At 39.1% G+C, this 13,133-nt stretch overlaps 1 protein-coding gene across 5 annotated transcripts in view, besides 1 other annotated feature; it reads left to right on the forward strand.

Annotated features, from left to right (window-relative positions):
* The window catches only part of CC2D2A (coiled-coil and C2 domain containing 2A), a 131,693-nt gene that overhangs the window by 24,370 nt on the left and 94,190 nt on the right, over window positions 1-13,133 (forward strand). For all 5 annotated transcript variants that reach the window (NM_001080522.2, XM_047416010.1, XM_011513872.4 and 2 more), the window contains 2 exons: window positions 8,195-8,283; window positions 8,588-8,689. In NM_001080522.2, coding sequence (NP_001073991.2) covers window positions 8,195-8,283; window positions 8,588-8,689 — 191 coding nt within the window. The remainder of the gene's footprint in view (window positions 1-8,194; window positions 8,284-8,587; window positions 8,690-13,133) is intronic.
* Window positions 7,586-8,141: an enhancer, noted in NCBI's record as "OCT4-NANOG hESC enhancer chr4:15503443-15503998 (GRCh37/hg19 assembly coordinates)". NCBI's record gives its function as "activates a minimal SCP1, AML or CMV promoter by ChIP-STARR-seq in naive H9 embryonic stem cells {active_cell/tissue: H9 hESC(naive)}" and the evidence as "EXISTENCE:reporter gene assay evidence [ECO:0000049][PMID:30033119]".

Below are 13,133 nucleotides of genomic sequence, written 5' to 3' on the forward strand. Positions count from 1 at the left end.
CGCCATCTGCTGAAGTATAAAGAAGAGCAAGGGGCACTGGGCAGGGCCAGGATCCCAAGACCCCACATGAGAAAGAGACGCATGTGCCAGAGCCGGGGTTCCTGAGTTTTCAGCTAACATAAAATGAAAATGCTAGTGGGACTCGGAAAGAGTGAGCCTGGGAGAACTAGAAAAAAAGATAGTGACCAGAGAAGTCCCTCCAGAGCACCTCAGCAAATGTGAACTATCAGCAGTGCTGGGGCTCATACAGGGACAGCCAGTTTGTTCTCAGCCCATTTTGACTTTCTTTTCATGTAGTGACACTTTCACAAGTGACACTAGTCTATTTCATAAAAATTAGAAAATCAGGAGAAGAAATCAATGACCTATTTTCTTAAACTCTAGTTACAGCCACCAATAAGCTTTTGGGCCGTTTTCTTGCCCTGGGTAAAAACCTGCCTGACAATAAGATTGTGTCCTATGTACCCATAGCATTAATTGTGGCTTAAAGGCTATCCTAGGGTCTTGCATCAGACTGTCCACTAATTACATTTTTTTTAATCCTCAAAATTTGAAAGTTTTTAATTAGTATTAATCAACTACATGCTTTGATTGACAACAAACAGTTACAATATGTAACAGGGTGAAGCATATGTAAATTTAAAAACAGAATGGTGACTTCACAAATTATTTATTTTTTAATTGTCTTTCCAACTTTTAGGTTCAAGGGGTACATGTGCAGGTTTGTTACATGGGTAAACTGCATATTGAGGGTGGGGGTTTGGTATACAGATCATTTTGTCACCCAGGTAATCAGCATAATACCCAATAGGTAGTTTTTCAACCCTCACCTGCCTCCCACCCTCCACCCTCAAATACCCAATGTCTGTTGTTTCTTTTTCTTTTTTTTTGGAAGACAGAGTCTTGCTCTGTTGCCCAGGCTGGAGTGCAGTAGCACAATCTTGGTTCACTGCAGCCTCCACCTCCTGGGTTCAAGTGATTCTCCTGCCTCAGCCTCCCATGTAGAGGGGATTACTGGCACATGCCACCACACTCAGCTCATTTTTGGTATTTTACTAGAGACGGGGTTTCACCATGTTGCCCAGGCTGGTCTTGAACTTCTGAGCTCAGACAATCCTCTCACCTCGGCCTCTCAAAGTGCTAGGATTACAGGCATGAGCCACCACGCCCAGCCTCTATTGTTTCCCTCTTTTTGTCCATATGTAGCTCAATGTTTAGCTCCCCCTTATAAGTAAGAACATGCGGTATTTGGTTTTCTGTTCCTTCATTAATTCACTTAGGGGATAATAGCCTCCAGCTCCATCTATGTTGCTGCAAAGGACATGAATTCATTCTTTTTTATGGCTATGTAGTATCCCATGGTGTATATATACCACATTTTCTTTATCCAGTACACCACTGATGGGCACCTAGGTTGATTCCATGTATTTGCTATTGTGAATAGTGCTGTGATGGGCATGTGAGTACATGTGTCTTTATGGTAGAATGATTTATATTCCTTTGTGTGTATACCCAGTAATGGGATTACTGGGCCAAATGATAGTTCTATTTTAAGTTCTTTGGGAAATTGCCAGACTGCTTTCCACAGTGGCGGAACTAATTTGCATTCCCACTCACAGTGTATAACAGTTCCCTTTTCTCCTCAACTTTGCCAGCATCTGTTATTTTTTGACATTTTAATATAGTAATGGCCATTTTGACTGGTGTAAGATGGAATCTCATTGTGATTTTTATTTGCATTTCTCTAATAATTTGTGATGTTAAGCATTTTTCAAATGTTTGTTGGCCACAAGTACATCTTTTGAAAATTATCTGTTCAAGTTCTTTGCCCATTTTTCAGTGGGGTTGTTTGTGTTTTGCTTATTGAATTAAGTTCCTTATAGGTTCTGAATATTAGACCTTTGTCAGTTGCATAGTTTGCAAATATTTTCTCCCATTCTGTAGGTTGTCTGTTTGCTCTGTTGATAGTTTCTTTTGCTGTGCAGAAGCTCTCTAGTTTAATTAGGTCCCACTGGTCAATTTTTGGTTTTGGTGCAATTGCTTTTGGAGACTTCATAATGAAGTCTTTGCCAGGGCCAGTGTCCAGAATGGTATTTCCTAGGTTTACTTTTAGGGTTTCTAAAGTTTTAGGTTTTACATTTAAGTCTTTAATCCATCTTGAGTTGATTTTTGTATATGGTGAAAGGAAAGAGTCTTCTGCACATGGCTAGCCAGTTATCCTAGCACCTTTTATTGAATAGGGAGTCTTTCCCCCATTGCTGTTATTGTAAGCTTTGTTAAAGATCAGATGGTTGTAGATGTGTGGCTTTATTTCTAGGAAGAGAGAAAGTCAAACTATCTCTCTTCGCAAGCGATATGATTCTATACCTAGAAAACCCATTTGGCCCAGTAATCCCATTACTGGGTATACACACAAAGGAATATAATTTCTGTAGCATCTGCCCAAAGGCTCCTAGATCTGATAAACAACTTCAGCAAAGCTTCAGAATACAAAATCAATGTAAAAAAATTAGTAGCATTTCTACACCCCAATAATGTCCAAGCTGACAGCCACATCAAGAATGCAATCCCATTCACAACAGCCACACAAAGAATAAAATGCCTAGAAATACAGCTAACCAGGAAGGTAAAAGATCTCTACTAGAAGAATTACAAAACACTGCTGAAAGAAATCAGAGATAACACAAACAAATGAAAAAACATCCCATGCTCATGGATAAGAAGAACCAGTATTGTTAGGTTGGACATACTGCTCAAGGCAATTTAAGATTCAGTGCTATTCCTATCAAACTACTGATGACATTTTGCACAGAATTAGAAAAAACTATTATAAAATTCATTTGGAAGCAAAAATGAGCCCAAATAGCCAACATGATCCTAAGCAAAAAGAAGAAAGCTGGAGGCATCAGACTACCTGACTTCAAACTATACTGCAAGGATACGGTAACTAAAACAGCATGGTACAGGTACAAAAACAGGCATACAGACCAATGGAACAGGTTAGAGAGCCCAGAAATACATTTTTCCTCTCAGTCCTGTTATTCTCCCATTTTTGTTCCTGAAGTCAAGCTGGCTTTTGCCCCATGCTCTTCCTACCCCCTTATCTCTATATTTTATAGTCTATCCTGGAATTTTGCATTAGGGAAAGATAATTTTGTGCTGAGGTTTAAGCACTGGGAATGGAGAGGCAGAAGTAAAAGGTAGTTCAGGCCTGTGTCCTTGTAACTCTTTTGTCCACCTCCCCTGCAATAATTATGGAAATACTAGGTTCTCCTTGCATATTTTTAAGTTGACATAAATTTTTATCATACTTTTAAATATTTGCCAAAGATTTAGAGGAATTACCCAAATGTTTTCCAAAGTAGCTACAGCAATTTATATTCCTACCAGCATAGAAGTTTTAATTTATCCACATCCTTGTCAATACTTGTTATTATCTCTCTTGTTTATTATAGTCATCCTATAGGGGTGAAGTGGTACCTAATTGTGGTTTTGGTTTCCATTTTCCTAATGACTAATGATGTTAAACATCTTTTCATGTGCTAGTTAGCCAATTGTACTTCTTTCTCAGAGAATGCCTATTCATGTGTTCTGCACATTTTAAAAGCAGGATCTTTGTGGTATATGGCTTATATGTCAATAAAACTGTTATTAATGAAAAACATAGGTGAGGCATCAGGATTCTGGACCACATCAATTTGTGGACATAACATGAGAGGAACAGAAAATTATTTGAAATGAAATACCTGTTTGTTAGGAAAACATGGTTGTGTTTTCTGAGGGGTCAGGTATAACAGAAGTCCTTAGGAGAAAAATGGAGAGTGTCCACTATTTTATTAAGCCTGGGTAACAGTGAGTATGGGTGATAGGAAAGAGGAGAGAGAGTGCAGAGAAGATCTGAAAGCCATTTCAAACACAAGGCTCATGTAGCCTTGGGGTTAATGGGTTTGCTAGGGAGCAAGAGCAACATTGCTGAACATCTAATCTCTTGCTGTGTCTGATGAAAAACATCACTTTGCCAAAGAAATCCACATTTCATGCTACATTGACATTATGTATATATTTTTAATGGAATGTCCTAAAATTCTGTCATTATCCATAAGTTCTTGCATGCCCTCAAATCAAATCTTAAAAAAATTATTTTCATCACACTTTGCATTTGATGCTACAGAAAATTTATTCATGTCAGATTTTCTTAGCTGTGTCAAAGGGCCATTTTCTGAATACGCCTCTTTTTGTAAATGTGAAATTAAGCCCTTCCTCGAGCCTGGCAGATCAGTTCTCACCCTCAGGGCTTGAAAGGGAGAGCCAGTTCGAGATCATGCAGCTGATTAGTAATGGAGTGGAGCAACTGACAATAAATTAGAAGAAAAATGTTTAATGAGGGTTGTCTTAGTATTTCCAGCTGTTTAAAGAAACACTGTTTGCCATATTCTACCAAGAAAAAAATGAAAGTACTTAACCCCATTAGCTATGATGTCAAAGGGAGGGAACTGGTACCTTTGGCTTCCATGGATGCCATGTTAGTAATATTATCTTTTTAAAAAAGTCTTCATCATTATCTGGTTTCAAACAAATGAAGATTACATTTATCTTGTTTGAAATACCTTTTTAAGTATAATATCCCTCACACCATCATGGTTCCTTTCTATGTTTTTCCTTCGCTGATCTAATACTACAAAAACCAAGTTCAAAAGTCCTCCAATATGTTTCTTGCTCTCAGCTGGTCACAGTCTGGCTGGAGAGATGACATGCCATCAGCTAGTTGTACAGACCTGATTTGGAAATCTTTAAATCCTCTACATGTCTTTTAGTAGCACAGACTTTAAAAACAAAATCAGTAAAAAGATCAGTGGTTGCCAGAAAGTAGAGGGGAGGGAGGGCTGAATGGGTGGAGCACAGAAGGTTTGAAGGGCAGTGAGACTACTCTGTATCATTGGATCATGCTGGATATGTGTCATTATAAGCTTTATCCAAATCTGTAGAATATACAGCACCAAAAGTAAGCCCCCAAGCAAACTATGGGTTTTGGGTGATTGATGCGTCAATGAAGGTTCATCAATTGTAATGAATGTGCCACTCTGGTGGTGGGTGCAATCATCAGGGAAAGTAAGCATGTTGGGGCTGGAATATATGGGAAGTCTCTGCAACTTCCCCTCAACTTTTTTGTGGGTCCTAAAACTACTCTAAAAAATTAAAGTCTATTAAAAGTGATAAATGTCATAATTTCAAAAAAGAATCTGGCAAGAGCTACTTTTTATGGTCTCAAAAATTGTCAATGTTTTTAAAACTAATAATAAACCTACTTCAGTTTCTTTATTCAGAAGAGATAGTGTTTAATAAAATATCTTGTCTCTCTTTTAAAGAATAATTCATAAAATTGTTCTAGTAAACCATGTACAAGTAATAACTGTTTTATGAAAACTAAAAAACCCTGAATTTTTAAAGAGGGGGTAAATAAGATTATTTTTATGTTCGTAAAAACTTATTAGTTTTGAAAAAGGCTTCTGACTGGTGGTGGAGGGGGTTGGTGACAGGGACAGAGGCACACTAAGTGGTCAGACAGAGGAAAGCATTGGCAAGAAGGAGGGTTTCAGTCTAGAAGCCCCTGTTAACCCACCCAGGCATTCCACACATGCTTAGTGATACTTAACAGTGTGCCTTCCCTGCGTGGCTGGGGACCTTAGAACCTGGGGAGGAGGAAACGGGTACTAATCAAATAGCCTAACAAATGCAGTCATGTGTTATTTAATGACAGGGATACATTCTGAGAAACGCATAACTGAGTAATTGTGTCATTATTATGGGACCATGATAAAGTGTACTTACACAAACCTAGATTGTGTGTGTGTGTGTGTGTGTGTGTGTGTGTGTATATATATATATATATATATATATGTATTTTTTAAATATGGAAAACCAAATGTCCCAGCATCATTACTGAATATCAGTTATTTCTCCTACTTGATCTGCAAAGCCAATATCAGGTGCCATAGATCAGATCTCTACATATGCTCCATTATAATCCTATTGGACCACCTTTGTATATGGGGTCTGCCATTGACCAAAACATCCTTGTGCAGTACATAACTGTATATAAATTCAAAATGTGACAGATGAAGGAAGTCTCAGGACTCTGCGCATATGCCACAGGAACATAATCTACCATAGTTATATTATCTGTAAAATGAAAAATGACTTGATTTTAAGTGAGTTTTAAAAGAATGCCAAAGGCCATTTTATTAAGCTAATGGAGATTCTCTTAAAGAACTTTGAACCTCAACACATGCATGCCAGACTCTAATCATTACCATAAATATTTCATGCCTCCATACAGGCATTAAGTGATAGTTGGGGGCATGATATAAGTAGTATTTTATAGCTTTCTATCACACATATGGAAGAAGGCACAACCCAAGAAACGGAGTGGCTGTGCTGCAGAAATGGGCTTTGAGGCTGGTGACTGTTGTCTTTGCTTGCATAAAGCAGGCTCAGGAGGAACCTGCAGACCTGTTATCTTTGCCTTCTCTCTGCCACTTTTCCTTCTACCACTCTTACTTTCACCTGCTGCCTTCCTCCCACGACAGTGTCATTGTCTACAAGCGTGAGGATCCTTCTCTCCTCAGGAAACTCCTTAAGGCTTCAGCGCTCACCATGGTTGAAAGCCTTCCCAAGCCTTTACTGTTCAGTCTGGCCCCTCTCCCAGAGCTTGGTGTCCTGGACAAGCACCTGCGACTTATCTGGCCCCAGACAAATTCACTCCAACATCTCCCAGTCTGACTTCCCGTCTCGTTTTTCTTTCTCAGCATCATCAAACTCCTCGTGTTGAAACCTCAGATTCCCTCACTTTTTCCTTATTTCTCTATAGCGGGGTCCTCCAGGTTGAGTGTGTGTTTAAACTCCCTGGGTGTCTGGGCTGTACCTCCAGGTTTTGGAGTATGCCTGAAAATCTGTGTATCTAAAAAGTTTCCAGAAGACACGACTGCTGCTGCTGCTGCTGACCATTTTTCCATACCTACCAATTGCCACTAGGCTCTATTGTATTTTCCTTTGTGTGGCCTGTCTTACTTACTCACACTGACCCCCTTTCCTTCCTATCTCACACCAGGACATCCTGACTGGGGTCCCTGGCACCTCACCCACTCCACCCCAACCATCCTGTGGTACAGCTTCTGAAAACGCTGCTTGCATTCATGTCCTCCTCCCTGCACATTCTTCACGACATCCACACTGCTTGGGGAATATAGCCGAGACTCCTTAATGTGACATCAGAGGCTCTCCATAACTTGATCCCAAAATCCTTCTGCAATCTTGAGTCCTTCTTCATCCCAGTAGAGACACTCTGCTCCACCCATGCTAACATTCTGTTCCCCAAAGACTCCATTTTACTTCCACCTCTTTTGTAATGGTTTAGAGAATTGGGGAATGTGGGGCTGGGACCAAATCCCAAGGATTCCACATCCTAGGTGTGTGATGGTAGAGCCATTTATCACGCAGGACTGCAGAGCCTTCATCTTTGTGATACCCGGTGATCATAATACCTGGGGCACTCCTCACAAAGATAGCAGAAAAATTGTTGAGAAATACATTTGATGCAGGTATCACAGAACCTGGCACACAATAGCTGCCTGATAGTTCATGATATTTATGGGTAAATTCAATAATATACACAAAATGTATATTGTCTCTATGATATAGCCCAGGGATAAACCTGGGCCTATAGAAAATGTTTCTCTGATCAAAGATATCAGTGCAATTGAAAGTTAAACCCGGAAACCCCAAATTCATTAGCCACCCATTCACCCGACAAGCCTGTTTCTCAAATCAACAAACTTGAGAGCCTTTTCCCAGTGGCAATTGAATTGGTAAGTATTCATGTGCCTTGAACAATCAAGTGTCATTCATTTCATTCTTAGTTAAGTCAAGATGACAGTGCTAGGCAGGACTGAGGTTTTGTCTCTCAGTTTCAGAAAAGCCAAGACATGTACTTACTACATCAAAAGGATGGTTGTTAGCATGATCTCATGTTTGCTTATGTGAAGTTCTAAATGTGCAAAATAAAATTATGTTCTCTTATTTCTTTTTTAATTTAACCTTCCCTTTTGGGGGGAGGGAATTGTTTTAAAGTAATTTTCCTTTTTCTTTTCTTTTTCTTTTTTTTTTATTTTGTTTTGTTTTTGTTTTTGTTTTTTAGGCTTACCTCCAATTCCTTCAACTTCCAGAACAGGCTTTGCAGAATTTTCCATGAGGGGACGCATGAGGGAGAAATTGCAAGCAGCGAGGGTGAGAGAAACCACATGAATATTCTGTTCAGTGCTGATTGCAATCTTCCAGGGCTTGTCTAGCTTACTTTTTATGCTCCAAACTGCATGGATTTGAATACCATTCAATTTGTCTTTCAAGTTTTAAATGTTAATGTCTTATTTTGCATTGGCACAGATGAAAATTATGCTTCAGAATTTAATGTCACTTTTCTGAACCATTTTCCTTGCTCTTCCCCTTAAAGAAGGATAGCATGTATTTTTTACTGATTATTTCTCGGCATTCCTGACATCATGTAGCAGTAAATTTCTGTTTGACTTTTTAGTCCAAAGCAGAAAGTGCATTGCTGCAGGAAATCCCCACTCCTCGGCCCAGACGCTTACGAAGTCCCAGTAAGAAAGAATTGGAGACTGAATTTGGCACAGAGGTGAGAAATACCCTCTCTACTTTGTGATCAAAACCAGTAAAGCAGAATATAAAGTTTCCAGCAAAAGTTTTTAGAGCAGAGCTATGCACAGAGGAGGTATTAAATGCTTATTAATAATTATAATACACTTTGGGAGACTGAGGTGGGAGGATCGCTTGAGTCCAAGAGTTCAACACCAGCCTGGGCAACAGAGCAAGACCCCACCCCTACTAAAAATAAAAATAAAAAATTTAACTGGGCATGCTGGCTTGTGCCTGTAGTCCCAGCTACTCGGGAGGCTGAGGTGGGAGGATCACTTAGGCCCAGGAGTTCAAAGCTGCAGTGAGCTATGATTAGGCCACTGCAGTCCTGCCTGGGCAACAGTGAGACCCTATTTCAAAAATATTAATAATTACAATAGCTACTATTTATAAGGTACTACTCTGTGCCAGGCATTTTACCACCTTTGTCCCATGTTATCACATTTCATTATCCCTACAGGGCAGGTACTATTATTTTCATTCACATTTAACAGATGAGGAAACTGAGGGTCAGAGTAGATGTGAAACCACCCTGGGTCACAGAGCATACATGTGGAAGAGTTGGGATTTGATCCCAGCTCTATATCATTTCCAGTCTGTCTCATTGGGTCAGCATTGCTGGATCCATGGATCTTCCTGGAAAGCAGGGAGAGAGATAAAAGTGCAGCAGAAAAATGGAGTCAGATGCTAAGGTCCTTGAATGTCACATTCAGGAGCCTCGGTAGTTTTCTACAAGCCATGGAAAGCTATTGACAACAGTAAGGGGAAGCAGTCTGAATGCACTAGAGTGAATTTCGTTCGTATTTGAGGTGCTGGTGAGGAATCTCAATATGTGTTCCTCCAGAGACACAGAGGAAGGGCCCAGACCTGGAAAAACAGATTTAGGAAGTGTTTCTACTGTGGTGAGTGTTTGAAGTTTTGAGAGTGCCTTTGGAGAAAACCTTAGAGTTAAAGCTGTTAAGGAGGAGAGGGAGCCAGGAAAAGAAACAGAGAGATTTCAGTGAGGGGTAAGCGCTAAGACGGCAGAAAAAGGAACAGAAAGAAAAACAGCAAATGGCTCAGGAGGTGTTTGCAACTACAATTCAATTGGTTTTTTGTTGTTTTTATTGGTTTGGGTTGTTTTTAACCATTAAGACAAAGAAGCCCAGGCTCTAGGGATATTTCTGATTTTTTAAATGATGCCTTTTCTTTTTCTGTGATGAGGTGTTATAAAATGTTACCTATATTCACCCCAAAGAAGTCACAAGTTGCATAATTATAAGGAATGTGGCAGCCTTGTTTATGTTTTGTGGTCGTCAGTAGGAACACTAGTCAGTCCAGTGAAATGGCTTTATGACTATTTGTTATGTGCCCTCATGATCCATTCCACTGAAAAAGCATTTCTTCCCTTTAATTCCCATTTATTTTCTTACTACAAAAGCCATAATTTAAAAATATTGGAAAATAAAGAAAAATATCTATAATCCCATCAGCTTGCCAAAAGAACTTTGGTTATTTTGGCGGGCATATGAGGCTAAGCATCTGGTCATGTTGGCTAAGTGACAGGAGGTTCAGGTCTTTTATATCTGGCTTTTTCTATACCTTCTGACTGAAAATCATTTCACAGCATCATTTTAAAAAATAGATATCATTATTCATGTAGCTCTCACTGTCCATGGGCCACAAATACTGATATCTCAAATAAAGCTGGAAGTTGTAGAAGTAAAAATATACTCCCTGGGCTACTAGGGTGTTTATTTCTCATTGTAATCAGGACTTGGCTTATATGTTCATAATATTCCATATTCCCTAAGTACCATTCTTACAGTATTGAGGCAAACATCAACTGCTTTGTCTTTAGACCAAGTCACATATTCATAATAGGACATCTCACAGCCACATTTCTTCATGTATATACCTCAAATCCAGAAGGAATATCTAAAAAATCGTTCAATATACTGTTCATCAAAAAATATAGCACATGAAGAGCACAGATGCTGAACTTCAGCTGACCAGGGCTAAAGGCTGCCGACCTCACTCACTAGTGATGTGACCTTTGAGTTTAGCTACTCTCCAGACCCCGCTTCCCGCCTCTATAAAACAGGGGTAATTCCAGAACCTAGTTCTTGGTATTGTTTTGAGGATTAAATGAGTGAATACATGTTACAGTGTTTCACATAGTACCGGGCACATGGTCAGCCCTCTGTATTTAAGTATTAATGATTGTTAGATGCTGTATACTCAGAGAGAAAAGGAGAAACCAGTTAGGAATACTTTGGTCAGTAATCCAAATTTACCAACGCAAACCACTGCTTAATCTCTTTTGTATTTCCTTTCACTTTATGCTCAGCAGATTTGTGATAGGTGAACAAATGCAAATCTCTAAGAACACATAAACATCAAAGTAGAAGTAACACAGAACCTTGAAAACTTAGCCTCCACTAGATATGACCAAAACTTCTCTACATGTGGCCCTGGTTCCCTGTTTCAGGTTACCCAAGATCTGATCCTTGAATCTAATTTACCTGTTGCCCAGCCAGCACTTATGAGAAACTCCTTCCTGCCAGGTGTCCGATAGGCTCAGAACACCCAGTGATGACAGTGACAGCTCACCCTTGAGGAGCTCAGTGGAGTTGACAGCCAGTGGGGATATAGGGGGATTCAGCTCTGTGGTGGGTGCTGTTAGCAGCCCACCAGAATGGCACCTCGTCCCAGCCTCAAAATCAGGTTATATAAAAATTAGTCCATGGCTTTCTTTGATCTGACGCCCAAAGCACAAGTAACAAAAGGATAAATAGCTACATTGGACTTCATCAAAATTAAAAACTTGTACTTCAAAGGAAACCATTGAACAAGGTAAGAAGAACACATGAAATGGAGAAGTTATTTGCAAATCATGCATCTTGATTAGTATCAGGACCACTATCAAGCATATATAAAAATTTGAGGGGTCTACAAGACAATCAGATTAGGGTGTCTTTTAAGAAATTGGTTTAGATTATGGTTTAAAGAGAGATCAGGGCTAGAGCTAATATATTTTGTAATTATGTTATAACAAAAGCAGTGAGACTTTAATTGGTCTAGCTCAAGTTAGAAGAGGGCCTAGAGCCTTCTTGGAGGATACAACAAATTTAAGGGTGAGAAAGAATTTCTAGATGGATATGTGCACATATGATGATAGGCACTCAATATTTTATTGCTGGATTGAAATTGAATGTAATTATTACTTTAAGATTATACAAATGTATTATAGTTCTTTAAAATTTAATTTAGCATGCTCAATCCTTTTAAGTATAATTAATGGCCTTAAATGTATTAATATAATTGACTTTAAAACTTTCTAAGATTTTGACAAAAATTACATTATATACTTTTTTATCAAGTCCATAAATACTGTAATAAAACCATCAATACTGCAATAAATCACATCAATGAAATTATATTATCTGAGCATATTTTCTATACCAACCCAATGGAAAGAAACAAAAATAATAATTTCCACATATTTTGCCACATGGAATTTAACCTAATTATTTTCTAGATTACTAATGTTAAGCTTTCTGCCTGGTCTTGTGTTTCATTATCATCATCTTCACAGATCTCTAAAGCCCAAGGCTTGCCTATACACAGCCAAGTTTCTCTCTCATGAGTTGACTTCTCGGTTTGTTTTGTGTGTTTTCAAACACATCAGTCTCTCTCCTTTGCTACAGGAAGTGCAGCAGACAGGAATAGAATGGCATCATCAACAATGCATGAGAAAGTCTTAGCCCTATTTTACAAGGCGACCTCACTTGGCAGAATCTTAAAAAGCCTTACTGACCAAGCACAGGAATCTGATCTTTATTCTACTGCAGTTTTTAAAAATCCTAGGCCGGGTGCGGTGGCTCTCGTCTGTAATCCCAGCACTTTGGGAGGCTGAGGCGGGCGGATCACGAGGTCAGGAGTTCGAGACCAGTCTGGCCAACATAGTGAAACCCCATCTCTACTAAAAATACAAAAAAAAAAATTAGCCGGGTTTGGTGGAGGGTGCCTGTAATCCCAGCTACTCAGGAGGCTGAGGCAGGAGAATCTCGTGAACGCGGGAGGCAGAGGTTGTAGTGAGCTGAGATCATGCCACTGCACTCCAGTCTGGGTGACAGAACGAGACTCCATCTCAAAAAAAAAAAAAGAAAAAAAAATCCTTACACTGGGTAATACTCATCTGCTTCTTTCCTCATCCTCAAAAACATTTAAAATACTGAGACAAATAATAACTTCATTTAGCATTGCATTGTGGAATGTATTGATTAGCACAGCTTCAACTTCTGTACAATTGAGTTGGTAGATAACTATTTAACCTTAACACTACAAAATGAGAAAATGAAGGAGAAGTATAGAATTCAACATAAAAGGAAACTGTATACAGTTGCTTGATATTATGATAGATTATACCCAACTGACACCCT

The sequence above is a fragment of the Homo sapiens genome, chromosome 4 (genome assembly GCF_000001405.40).
Source record: "Homo sapiens chromosome 4, GRCh38.p14 Primary Assembly".
Classification (NCBI taxonomy): Eukaryota; Metazoa; Chordata; class Mammalia; order Primates; family Hominidae; genus Homo; species Homo sapiens.